General features: G+C 38.2%; 1 protein-coding gene across 9 annotated transcripts in view; it reads right to left on the reverse strand.

Annotated features, from left to right (window-relative positions):
• The window catches only part of ANKRD13C (ankyrin repeat domain 13C), a 95,724-nt gene that overhangs the window by 12,791 nt on the left and 69,412 nt on the right, over nucleotides 1-13,521 (reverse strand). For 7 of the 9 annotated variants that reach the window (XM_047431278.1, XM_047431276.1, XM_005271234.4 and 4 more), the window contains 2 exons: nucleotides 4,976-5,055; nucleotides 2,931-3,029 (listed from right to left, as the gene is read on the reverse strand). In XM_047431278.1, the coding sequence (XP_047287234.1) occupies nucleotides 2,931-3,029; nucleotides 4,976-5,055 (179 nt within the window). The remainder of the gene's footprint in view (nucleotides 1-2,930; nucleotides 3,030-4,975; nucleotides 5,056-13,521) is intronic. The other 2 variants (XM_047431282.1, XM_005271235.4) reach the window with 1 other exon arrangement.

A 13,521-nucleotide genomic window follows, 5' to 3' on the forward strand; every position in this document is an offset into this window, starting at 1 on the left:
TTACAGAGAAATTTTCTTCTATCATATTTTGAATATTATTTTGGTTATACTTGGACGCCTTTTAAGTAAAACATGAATGACTCATATTGAACCATTTTTGTCCTCCATATCTATTGCTCATGTAATTTCTTTAATCTCTTCTACTGAATTCACCAAGAGTTGTCAAAATTTAATTTTCAGTTACATCGATTCTGTTCATTATTGTTTCTACTGTATTTGTTTTGTAATAGTGCCATTTAGTGCTCAATTTATTTCCTCAGCTTTACAATCTCCTTTTCATTTCATTTTACTGTCTTATATTCTCATCTCAGAAAGATCTGCTTTACTGATTTCATGTTCTTTCTTGTTTTCTATGGCATTTATAGGTAATTTTCTTTTTTTTTTTTCTGAACTTTTAGAACAAATTATTTGTCTGGCATTTGTATGCTGTGTTCTCTATTTCTTTTTTTTTTTGAGATGGAGTTTCGCTCTTGTTGCCCAGGCTGGAGTGCAATGGCGTGATGTCGGCTCAACGCAAACTCCGCCTCCCGGGTTCAAGTGATTGTCTCAGCCTCCCGAGTAGCTGGGATTACAGGTATGCACCACCACACCCGGCCAATTTTGTATTTTTAATAGAGACGGGGTTTCTCCATGTTGGTCAGGCTGGTCTCAAACTCCCAACCTCAGGTGATCCACCCGCCTCAGCCTCCCAAACTGCCAGGATAACAGGTGTGCACCACCATGTCCGGCTCCTTATTTCATTTTCTTTTTCAAGAGTAGTGGTTATAACTGCCACATTTTATAAATTCTAAGATATTCTTTTTTTTTTTCATGTAACATATCTGAAATTAGGATAACTCCTAAAATTGATGACGTCTTAATATTAGCTGCAGTTTTCTTCTTTATTAGCAAGTAGAATATAAAATTGGTGAATCTTTGGCCAGGTGTGGTGGCTCACATCTGTAATCCCAGCACTTTAAGAGGCCCAGGTGGACAGATCACCTGAGGTCAGGAGTTTGAGACCAGCCTGGCCAACATGGTGAACCCCATCTCTACTAAAAATACAGAAATTATCCAGGCGTGGTAGCACATGCCTGTAGTCCCAGCTAGTTGTCAGGCTGAGTTGGGAGGATCACTTGAACCTGGGAGGCAGAGGTTGCAGTGAGCCGAGATTGTGCCACTGCACTCCAGCCTTGGCAACAGAGTGAGACTCTGTCTCAAAAAATAAATAAATAAATAAATAAATAAATAAATAAAATAATAAAATAAAATTGGTGCATCGAGTCAACTGGGTCCTAGATATGACAAATTTTGGCAGATGTGTAGGTGTGGCTAACTCTCCACATTTTCTGAGACTTATCTCTCTCTGACATAACTTGAGGGCTGTATAGAACAATCTATCTACTTATCTAAAGCCTAGATATGGGTAAAGCTCAGGTATGTATGTACTTTTTAAAAATATATGCACCCTGCTCTCTTCTCCGATCATTTTTAAAAAATGTATTAGGCCGTTAAAAAAAATTAATGCATTAGGCCAGATTTGAAAGGGAAGGAACTAGTAAGAGAAAATCGCCCAGTGCTTCATCTCCTCCCTCCCACTTTAGTGAGGAGCCTAAAACTATAGTTGTATCAGTCAGCTCTTGCTACCCATCTCTCATTCCAGCCATCTCTCCAAATAGAGTATTTTTAAAAAGGAGCATCCAATGAGTACATGTTGGAGAGGATATATTCAATATGTTTACCACAATATTGTTGAAAATGGTGACAAACTACAAATAATCAAAATGTTTATCAGTAGATGAATGATAAACAACAGTATATCAACACTACAAAATAACAAGGAAAAAGAATAGACGAAAATATAATCACTGTAAAACTTCAAGACACACTCATTTTTTCTTTTTTCTTTTTTTTTTTGAGACGGACTCTCCAGGCTGGAGTGCAGTGGCACGATCTTGACTCACTGCAACCTCTGCCTCCTTGGTTCAAGCGATTCTCCTGCCTCAGCCTCCCTAGTTGCTGGGATTAGAGGCACATGCCATATGCCCAGCTAGTTTTTGTATTTTTAGTAGAGATAGGGTTTCACCACGTTGGCCAGGCAGATCTCAAACTCCTGACCTCAGATGATCCGCCCACCTTGGCCTCCCAAAGTACTGGGATTACAGGCATGAGCCACCACGCCCAGCCAAGACACACTCACTTTTAAATGAAAACAAGGAACACACAGAAGAAAACGTGAACCATTCCCCCATTTTTATTTTAAAAAATGCAAAAACACGGATAACTCTAGACAAAAATACAATAGTCATTAACTATTGATGTGTTAAAATAACACATTTTATTCTGTAAATTTCCATACTTTTGGATTTTTTTAAAACAAGCATGTATTCACGTATTACTTTTTATAATTTAAAAACCTACTCGGCTGGGCGTGGTGGCTCACGCCTGTAATCCCAGCACTTTGGGAGGCTGAGGTGGGTGGATCACCTGAGGTCAGGAGTTTGATGCCAGCCTGGCCAACATGGCGAAACCTCATCTCTACTAAAAATACAAAAATTAGCCGGGCGTGGTGGTGGGCACCTATAATCCCAGCTACTCAGGAGGCTGAGGCAGGAGAATTGCTTGAACCTGGGAGGTGGAGGTTGTGGTGAGCCAAGATCGCGCCACTGCACTCCAGCCTGGGTGACAGAGCAAGACTCCATCTCAAAAAAAAAAAAAAAAAAAAAAAGAAAGAAAGAAAATCTACTCAAAAATTTATCTGGTGAAAGTAGTAAAAATCAATACTTTTGCGAACCAGAAAAGTTCTAGAACAGTGCACACACTATCAAGGCAATGGCTATTTGCTTTTCATTTCAAAGGTCTCAAATGCACCACTGGGGTGCAAATATTATTACAGCCTTTAGGGTTTAATAGTTTCTTTCATAAACATTTGTAGTTAGTAACAAACTTACAACTCTATCCCTAAGGGAAATTCCTGGCTCATGGCTATCGTAGCTTTAAACGTTTTCTTACTCTCTTTGCACACCAATTCTCTACCCAGATGAGGAGCTCTAAAATGGGAGGAAAAAAAATGTTAGGAAACTTTTTCCATAGTCTATCACCTTCCTAAGAAGCATCTGTCATCTTTCAATGACATTCATTAATATTTCAATTTTTCTTACTCTGTCTACAGAAATAAAGTTATGCTAAAAGGGAATAAGATATGTATAAGAAATTAAGACAAGGGCAATAAAAAAGAATAGCAAAGAGTAAAAGTTCAGAAATTATTAGATCTAAACTAATTTCACATTGAATATAATTTTAATAACCACTATTTTTAGGAATAAAGAAAATCATTAGTAAAAAAATTTTTAAGGTATTATTGTATATCTTTAAAGTCACTTATTCAATTCAATCTTCTTTACTGTCTATTACAGCCTCTGCATTGATCAATAAGAAATATTGTGAAGAATAAGGAATTCTATATTAACTATTATCAAAAGAAAATTATCAATGTAGCATAAAGATCTAATTGGCTTTTATTTGCAACTCTAGCACAGGACAATACCTAATTCTGTAAAATAGAATGAGCGTTCCAATAAGCTGAAAAGAGGAGGTTATCTTTATAGACTGAAAAGGCTGAAGTGGAAACGGTGGGGAAAAAAGGTGATCTGGTTATTTCAAAGTTGCTTTCCTTATACAGTTAAAAAAACAGAAGACTTAGTTACTATGTTGACTCAGGTTGCCTGGAATGTCCTTTTTTTTTTTTCATTTTAAACTGGCCCATTTCAAAGTTCAGTTTAATTATGTAGTACTTAGCAGAAGTAACTACATTCTGGTTTGGTATGGTCTGCTGGTGCCTAGTGCATGCAGGAGGCTAATCTAATACAATAATACCCTCATAAATTTTGTTTAGCACCATAAAATATTAAGGTCAGGCGCAGTGGCTCATAGCTGTAATCCCAGCATTTGGGAGGCCGAGGCAGGTGGATCATTTGAGCCCATGAGTTTGAGACCAGCCTGGCCAATATGGTGAAACCCTGTCTCTACTAAAAATACAAAAATTAGCTGGGCATGGTGGAGCGCACCTGTATTCCCAGCCACTCGAGAGGCTGAGGTGAGAAAATGGCTTGAACCTGGGAGGCGGAGGTTGCAGTGAGCTGAGATCACGCCCACTGCACTCCAGCCTGGGCGACAGAGCAAGACTCCATCTCAAAAAAAAAAAAAAAAAAAAACTATAAAAATATTAAGATGGAAACATCTTGGAGAATTCAGAAAAATATAACAAAACTTTCAATAAGAAAAAAAAATGACAACTTCTTCCTAAACAGGAGCAGGAAAGCAATATTTTATATTTTATTCTCCACCAAAAGGAAATAATGGTTGGCCAGGATACACTTTTTACTTATCTATTTATTAAAAATAAACCCTTTCTTTATTCATTCATCATTCTTTTAGTCAATAAATATAAACTGAGTATGAGCTATGTGGTAGGCACTCTACTGTTAGTAATATTACATCAGCAAAGGTCCTATGGAAGGACAGTGAGAAGTAGTCTAGCATAGGTTGAAACTAAAGGATAATGACAGGTGAGGAGCTTGGAAAGGCAAAAAGAAGATAAATAATGAATGGGCTTGCACACTATGCTAAAAAATCAGGATAATCACAAAATAGAAAAGCTCATCATACAATGGGAAATCTCAAATAAGCAACTGTCCTGCGCAATTTCCTATATCATATTTCCTTAGAACAGTGTCTTTTAGTTTTTTAGGTGTGTATAAATTGACAGGATGGATACAGAAAGATCTACAACCATTTGCAAAGAGGGTACATAATTTGGGACACTTTGCCCTTATCATATTTAATCCATATTTTTAAAAGGTAGAAGAATTGCTTCAGTCAAAAATATACCAATAATTCTCTCCAAAATAATTTACGCCAAAATATTCACATATTCAGTTTTTACAAATTATTCTTTCTAAAAACCAAATAACACATAAACAAGAAAAAAACTTACTTTCCATTTTCAGCAGATATATATTCTTCCCATGTAATAGTGTTCTGAGGAGGAGGTGTAAGAGACTGTCTTCGAATCGGCTGCCAAAAAAAAAAAAGAAAGAAAGTGGGGTGGGGGAGAAAGAAAGATGTTATTTTTTAAATATAAGATTAAAATACATCGTAAACTATTAAAACTAACAATCTACTTAATCTCTTCAATATAATACTTGAAAAGGTTCCTTCCAAGATCGTTCCATGGTGGTTTAAGCTCTATTGGTAATATTTATTATCAATTTTTTTTTAAATCCCAAAAAGACAAATATCAAAATAATAACACCCATTCAGTCAATGCTTCAATCATCTAAAATGTTCCTGTCATTATACTAGCTGCTGAACATGGAACTACAGAGAAGTGTAAAAACTAACTCTGGGCCAGGCATAGTGGCTCATGCCGGTAATCCCAGCACTTTGGGAGGCCAAGGCGGGTGGATCACGAGGTCAGGAGTTCAAGATCAGCTTAGCCAAGATGGTGAAACCCCGTCTTTACTAAAAATGCAAAAGAATTATCCGGGCGTGATGGTGAGTGCCTGTAATCCCAGCTACTCAGGAGGCTGAGGCAGAGAATTGCTTGAATCTAGGAGGTGGAGGTTGCAGTGAGCCGAGATCGTGCCACTGCACTCCAGCCTGGGTGACAGAAGCAGACTCCACCTCAAAAAAAAAAAAAACAAAACTCTGATTCAAGGAATTTACAATTCAGTTGGAAAGAAAAAAAAAATACAGACATGAACAGTTAACCAGAAATATAAAAGAGCATATTATTAAAGGCCAAATGAGATTATAGAAAATAGAAAATATATGAGAAAAGATAGCAATCTTCTGTGGGTAAAGATCAAGACTATGCAATTGGACTTCAGATTTAAATGAAGATGAAACAGAGTGTTTTTAAAACAGAGAAAATTAAAGGTAAAAAACACAAGAAGACTGATTTAAACTCAGATGGGAAGTTCAAAACGGAGATCAACAGTAGATGGTAAAAATCGCAAAGGTCAGATTTTAAAACTTTCACCCTATCTTTGCTAAATATGAATTTCAATCACTATAAGATGAACTGGCAATAAGGAACTAAACTCTGGAGCAGAAAAGGAAATTGGAAATTCCTGGGCCAGGTGCAGTGGCTCATGCCTGTAATCCCAATACTTCGGGAGACAAAGACAGGAGAATCACTTGAGCCCATGAGTTTGAGACCAGCCTAGGCAACATAATGAGGCTCTGTTTCTTAAAAAAAAAAAAAAAATTAGCTGAGTGTGGTGGTGCGTGCCTGTGGTCTCAGCTGCTTGAAAAGCTGAGGCGGGAGGATCACTTGAGACCAGGAAGTTGATGCTGCAGTAAGCCATGATTATGCCACTGCACTCCAGCCTGGGTAACAAAGTAAGACCCTGCCTCACAGAAAAAAAAAAAAAGAACTGGCCAGGCGTGGTGGCTCATGCCTGTAATCCTAGCACTTCGGGAGGTCAAGGCAGGTGGATCACTTGAGGTGAGGGGTTCAAGACCAGCCTGGCCTATATGGTGAAACCCCATCTCTACTAAAAATACAAAAATTAGCCAGGCGTAGTGGCTCGCACCTGTAATCCTAGCCACTCAGGAAGCTGAGGCAGGAGAATCACCTGAACCCAGGAGGCAGAGATTGCAGTGACCTGAGATCACACCACTGCACTCCATGACCCAAGATCACACCACTGCACTCCAGCCTGGGAAACAGAGCGACTCTATGTCTCAAGAAAACAAAACAAAACAAAAACCTCATAAATTAAAAAAAAATTTTTTTTCAATTGCTAATGAAAACCTAACAGGACTATGGAGCAAAAAGACAATAAGTGAAAGACTAATATGAATAATAAGATGTTAATAACATTGAGAGGGTCTCATTCAAGAAATGTGGTTTTACATATAATTAGTGTAAGATGTTAATGAGCCATATATTAGAGTTGTTAAAATCAAGGATTGCTAAGACACAAAATTGAGTTAGAATCCCAGCTCCAATACCTGGTAGTTGTGTGAATTTGGGCAAGTTACTTTCTATTATGTCAACTTAACTCACTTGCAAAATGGGAATTGGGCCACTAACTCATAGTTAAAAATTAATGGAGATAACGTATATAAAAAACTTAGTGCAGGTCAGGTGTGGTGCCTCATGCCTATAATCCTGGCACTTTGGGAGGCCAAGGCAGGTTGATCCCTTGAGCTCAGGAGTTTGAGACTAGCCTGGGCAGCATGGCAAAACCCCATCTCTACAAAAAATACAAAAAAAAAAAGTAGCCAGGCATGGTGGCACACATCTGTGGTCCCAGCTACTTGAAGGGCCAAGGTGGGAGGATTCCTTGAGCCCAGGACATGGAGGCTGCAGTGAGCCGAGATCATGCCACTGCACTCCGGCCTACAGGACAGAACATGACTCTGTCTCAAAAGAAATTAAAAAAGAGAGAGAGAGAGGGAAGCAGTAAATGGAGGAAAAGCTTTTTCTCTACCCTCCGTTTTCTGCCGAACTACAGAGTATAAATTTTGCTTCACTGGAGATAACTCTATACTCTTACTAGCCCAGTGACAGCACCAGAGGAATTTGCAAACAAACCTTACTCCTTTCCTGTCCTTGGAAACCTAAAATCACTTTCATTTGTCCTGTCATTTCTCTATAAATTTATTGTTCTTTGTTGAAGATGCTATATAAGTAGAGTTCTAAGCCACTATTTTGAGCTACTTTTTTTTTTTTTTTTTTTTTTTGAGACATAGTCTTGCTCTGTTACCCAGGCTGGAGTGCAGTGGCACAATCTCGGTTCACTGCAACCTCCGCCTCCCAGGTTCAAGCAATATTTCTGCCTCAGCCTCCTGAGTTGGGATTACAGGTGTGCATCATCAAGCCCAGCTAATTTTTGTATTTTTAATAGAGATGGGGTTTCACCATGTTGGCTGGGCTGGTCTCAAACTCCTGGCCTCAAGTGATCTGCCCAACTCAGCCTCCCAAAGTGCTGGGATTACAGGCATAAGCCACTGTGATCAGCCCTTGAGTTACTTTTCCTTGGGGTTTCTTGTGTGGTGTGCGGCACGCATTAATAAACTTGTTTGCTTTTCCCTTATAAATCTGTCTTTTGGTACGAGAGTCCATCTCAACTAAGAACTAAGTTTGGAAGAGGTAAAGTTTAGTTTCCCTTATGGTATAATGGAGGCCAAAAGAAAAGACTGTTTCAATATCACACTACAGAGACTTTGAAGAGAAAGAAGCCTGAAAAAGCCATAAATTTTGTTGGTTAGAAGTCATTGATGATCTCTGAGTAGCAGCCGAGGGATGTGGAAAGAAAGGAAACAGAGTTTTTTAGTATCAGGCAAGATGAAAGACAATGTTCTTTCCTTGAGAAGCTTATCAAGAGACACAAAAAGTAAATACTTATAATTGAGGGTGACAGGGGCTATGATATAATTGAGGGTGACAGGGGCTACAGAATGATATAAACATGCACAGAAGAGGTTTATGACAGACTAGGGTAGCCAAAAGACGTGGACTGGTTGACTCCTGAATTGAGGAGTCTAAAAAAGAACAAAAGAACTGGTTGAAGGAACTGGGGAAAGCAGAATGGTGAGAGAAAGCATGACATACTGGGAAATTGCAAGTGTAGTGTGTCTAGTTGTATGAGTAGTATACATGAAGATTAGTAGTAAGAGAAAAGTGGCCAGACACAGAAGAGAAAAAGTAGCCTGAAAGGGTTTTACATATGAAGTAGATCACATTTTACTCAGGAAGCAATGGACAAATATTTTGAGCAATACAATATAGTAGCTAAAACACCAACTGTGGAGCCAGAGTGATCCAATTCTGGCTTCGACAATGACTAGCTGACTTCAAACAAATTACTCAACCTCTTTTGCCTCAGTTCTGTCAACTATATAACCTCAGAGGGTTTACTGTGATGATAAAAATGGGCTGTTAAATGTAAAGTGCTTAAAATAGTGCCTCACGCATAGCAAGTACTGTATACATTTTAGTTACTGAGCATAGCCATTACATGATTCAATCTATTTCAGGGTGATTACTCTGGTGGCAGTGTATTTAGGAAGCTATCTCAGTAATCCAAATGAGAAATGATAAGGGCATGTTGTTTAAAAATGGAAGGACAGAAAATAGACTAAATAGACTCAAGAGATCCTTAGGATTTTGTGATTGATCAGATATAGAGATAACAGGAAAGCTAAGAAGTCTAAGAAGAAATTTCAGGTTGCCAGCTGGGGTAAATAAGGAGATAATGGTGTTACTACCTAAGACAGAGAAAAGAGGAAGGAGGGAAGAAAGCATTATCTGATTTAGACACACTAAATTTTAGACATCTATGTTTATCCAAGTAGAGGTAGGCAAAAGCACTATAGATGTGGTGATATGACGGAAGAATAGAGTTAAAGGTATATATCTGGTTGACAGTTACCAGTGTTTATGTACTCACTGATGAGATGTCAGAGATTGCTAGTTGTCTCCCCAGTATCTGTTCTCCCATTAGTCTTTGTGAAAGAACCTCTCTTCCAAATTTTTGGATGAGCACATGACTTCCTAGAATAGACTCCTTTTCTAGAAATCCTTGCAGCTAGGTGTTATCATGTGACTAAATTCTTTTTTTTTTTTTTTTTTTTTTTTGAGACAGGGTCTTGCTCTGTCACCTACACTGGAGTGCAGTAACTCAATCACACCAAACTGCAGCCATGACCTCCTGGACTCAAGTGATCCTCCCACCCCAGCCTCCTGAGGAGCTGGGACTACAGATGCATGCCACCATGTTCAGCTTGTTTTTACTTTTTTTTTGTAGAGACAGAGTCTCACTATGTTGCCCAGGCTGGTCTTGAACTCCTGAGCTCAAGCAATCCTCCCACCTTGGCCTCCCAAAGTGCTGGGATTACAGGCATGAGTCACCATGCCCGGGTTAAATTCTAACCAATGGAATGTGAGCAGAGTGATGTGTACAACTTCAGAATGGGCTCTCAAACAGAATAGGAATGCCTTCTCCTTTCTAATTAGCACTTTGGGAGGCCAAGGCGGGCAGATCACCTGAGGTCAGGAGTTCGACACCAGCCTGGCCAACATGGTGAAACCCCGTCTCTACTAACTACTCAAGAGGCTGAGGCAGGAGAATCGCTTGAACCCAGGAGGCAGAGGTTGCAGTGAGCTGAGGTCATGCCACTGCACTCCAGTATGGGCAACAGAGGGAGACTCCATCTCAAAAAAAAGAATTACTATTCCTGCTGGCTGGAATATGAAACTGGTACATATCATCTTTTTTTTTTTTTTTTTTGAGATGGAGTCTCGCTCTGTCACCCAGGCTGGAGTGTAGTAGCGCGATCTCGGCTCACTGCAAGCTCTGCCTCCCAGGTTCATGCCATTCTCCTGCCTCAGCCTCCTGACTAGCTGGGACTACAGGTGTCCACCACCACGCCCGGCTAATTTTTTGTATTTTTTAGTAGGGACGGGGTTTCACCATGTTAGCCAGGCTGGTCTCGATCTCCTGACCTCGTGATTTGCCCGCCTCAGCCTCCCAAAGTGCTGGGATTACAGACATGAGACACCGCGCCCGGCAATATAAATCATCTTATACCATGTGGATGCAAGGCCACATCCTAGGAATGGCAGAGAAGACAAAAGAAAAAAAGTTGTCTGGGATTAACCCACAGAGCAGAGAAAAACCACACAAACTCAGATTTTTACATGAGAGAAAAATAATCTTTTATCTTGTTTAAGTCACTGTTCTTTTGAGATTTCTTATAAGCAGCCAAACTTACATCATAACCAATACCAAATTCCAAATTTACAGTGGGAGATTATACATAATACTATGACATGTAGCAATGGCTTATCAGTAGAATGACGAAGAGGCTTAAAAGCTAGTTAATGACCCTCACAAATGCTGTGGCAAAACATTAGGTAAAATAGTATCTAGTGATATGCTAGAAAGCAGAGAGACATGCGTTTAATAGAACCTTTAATTTTAGGGGAAACCGCTGGAAACGTTTAAGATTGCTGCTCCAACCTAGAACCACAGCAAAGACTAATCCCATACCCACTGAAATCTCTATCTATTAATATTTTAAATATTATATATAACATTTTCATGGTAAAGACACATTTGTCATATGATTAGATAACATGGCATGTCACATCATTATATTTTTTCAGGTAATAACTTTTCCAAGTAAGTTTCTACCATTTCCAAATAAATTCTTTCTAAACAGTACATTATACATTCCCCATCTTAGTAAAGACTGTAATCAATGTAATTTAACCTTTTATTGAGCACTTTATCTCATCATTATAAATATCAATTATCATATTCTAAAAATGTCTTTCTAGTTTAAGTTTAAATTAGTCCTTTATTTTTTTCAAGGAATCCCAAATAGATTCAAAGTCCTTTATTATATACTGACACTTCTTGCTGAATCCTTCAGTGCCTCCTCTATACTGATGCCATGGCTATCTAATGAAACAGGAAGACATAAAGGTTGGTGCAATACCAGATAACTCTTTAAGTTATTTTGCCAAATCAATTGGCTCTGTAATTGAAATGCCTTCAAGCCTTTCCCTCATAATTAAATGTAAAACTTCTGATGACTATTTTCCTTGAAGCATATAGGAAATACTTTATTTCTAGGTTTGTTATTATTCTAATATTTTATATGGCAAAGCTTTCTGAAAGTTTAAGATATTCATGTATTTTATTATGTATTCCTCTTTAGATTTTTAAATAAAGAAAAAAAAATCCATGCCGGGTGCGGTGGCTCACACCTGTAATCCCAGCACTTTAGGAGGTCGAGGCGGGTGGATCCTGAGGTCAGGAGTTCGAGACCAGCCTGACCAACATGATGAAACCCCGTCTCTACTAAAAATACAAAAATTAGCCGGGTGTGGTGCCCGTAATCCCAGCTACTCAGGAGGCTGAGGCAGGAGAATTGCTTGGAGCCGGGAGACGGAGGTTGCAGTGAGCTGAGATCACGCCATTGCACTCCAGCCTGGGCAACAGAGCAAGAGCGAGACTCCATCTCAAAAAAGAAAAAAAAAATCCATAATCATGAATAGGGCTTAACTCAATATTCTGAACATATAGTTGGCACAGTATAAGTGCTTTTATCAATGACTCTAAGGTATAAACGGAGCATTGTTCCCTACTCCAATGATAACTGGTTACAACAAGGAGCTAAAAATACAAGAACAAGTACCCATGATTTAAGAATTTCTGAGCACTTAAATTTTGCTATCAAAAATTCTGTCAAAAATATATACTAAATACTAGAACCACATCTGGGAAGGAAGAGAAAAAAAAGCAGAAGAGGCACAGTAAAAGTAATCAAATGGCAAATAATTCCTTCTGAATACTACCTATAAGCCATTTCTTGCAGAAATTGAAATAAAATTTTGGCTGGGGATGGGGGACAAGAAGAAACCCAAAAGCTATTTATTTATAATAAAGCATATAAATTCATTCCAAAAAGGAATAGACATTTATTTTTAAGAATGGAAATTCTATTAAAACATGGCTTTAAAATATATAATTTTAATGTATTTTGAAAAAAATAAGAAATCATATATATTTTCTAGATTTTTGAAACTTTAATAATTCTCCAAAATCAAAAATATATTTTTTACTATTATGTGCTCTACTAGTTTTTACTACATTTACCAATAACATATTCCCAGGATTATTTCTTAAGGTTTTCCCCACTCTTTCCTGACTTCAACTTCCCAGTATTTTGAAAGAATTGCTAAGACGTGTTAATACCTGAATATACAGAAAGAAGAAACTATAACAAAGACAGACTAAGAAGCAAAGAACTTACAGCAAGAACAGGCTTGCAGTCAGGTTCCTAACATAAAAGTCCATCTCTGCTTCTCTATCTTCGTAACTCAGACAAATTAACTTACTTAAACCTCAATTTCTTTTTTATAAAATGGGCAATGGCACTCACCTCTTTAGGTCATTACAATAACTAAACCAGATAATATATGGAAAGTACTTAGTACAAGGCCCATGCTAACAACTTCAATGTTTTAAGCCAATATCAATAAGAAAGAAAACTTTGTTGAGGTGTATATGAATTCAGTTTTCATTCCTGTTGTTTTCTTTTTTTAGCCAGCTACGAAAGACATCCAATAAATGTCATTTTTAACCTGCAGAAGCTGAAATTGAGCTTATGGCACTCAACTCAGAATAGGCCACTGGAGAATCCTTCATTACTCTCTGATAAAATATAATGCTTTCCACACAACTGTCATTAATTAAATACATCTGAGTTACTAACCTACAATTCACTGTGACTTGAAAATTAATATAGCACATGTCTATTTCTACACTTGATTTGTTCTTATATTGTCAGCTGTGACCTTGAAAGCATCAATTTTCAATACTGATTTATAATGTCTTTTTTTTTTTTTTTTTTTTTTTGAGATGGAGTCTCACTCTGTTGCCCAGGCTGGAGTGCAGTAGCATGATCTCGGCTCACTGCCACCTCTGCCCCCTGGGTTCAAGCAATTCTCCTGCCTCA

The sequence above is a fragment of the Homo sapiens genome, chromosome 1, assembly GCF_000001405.40.
Source record: "Homo sapiens chromosome 1, GRCh38.p14 Primary Assembly".
Classification (NCBI taxonomy): Eukaryota; Metazoa; Chordata; class Mammalia; order Primates; family Hominidae; genus Homo; species Homo sapiens.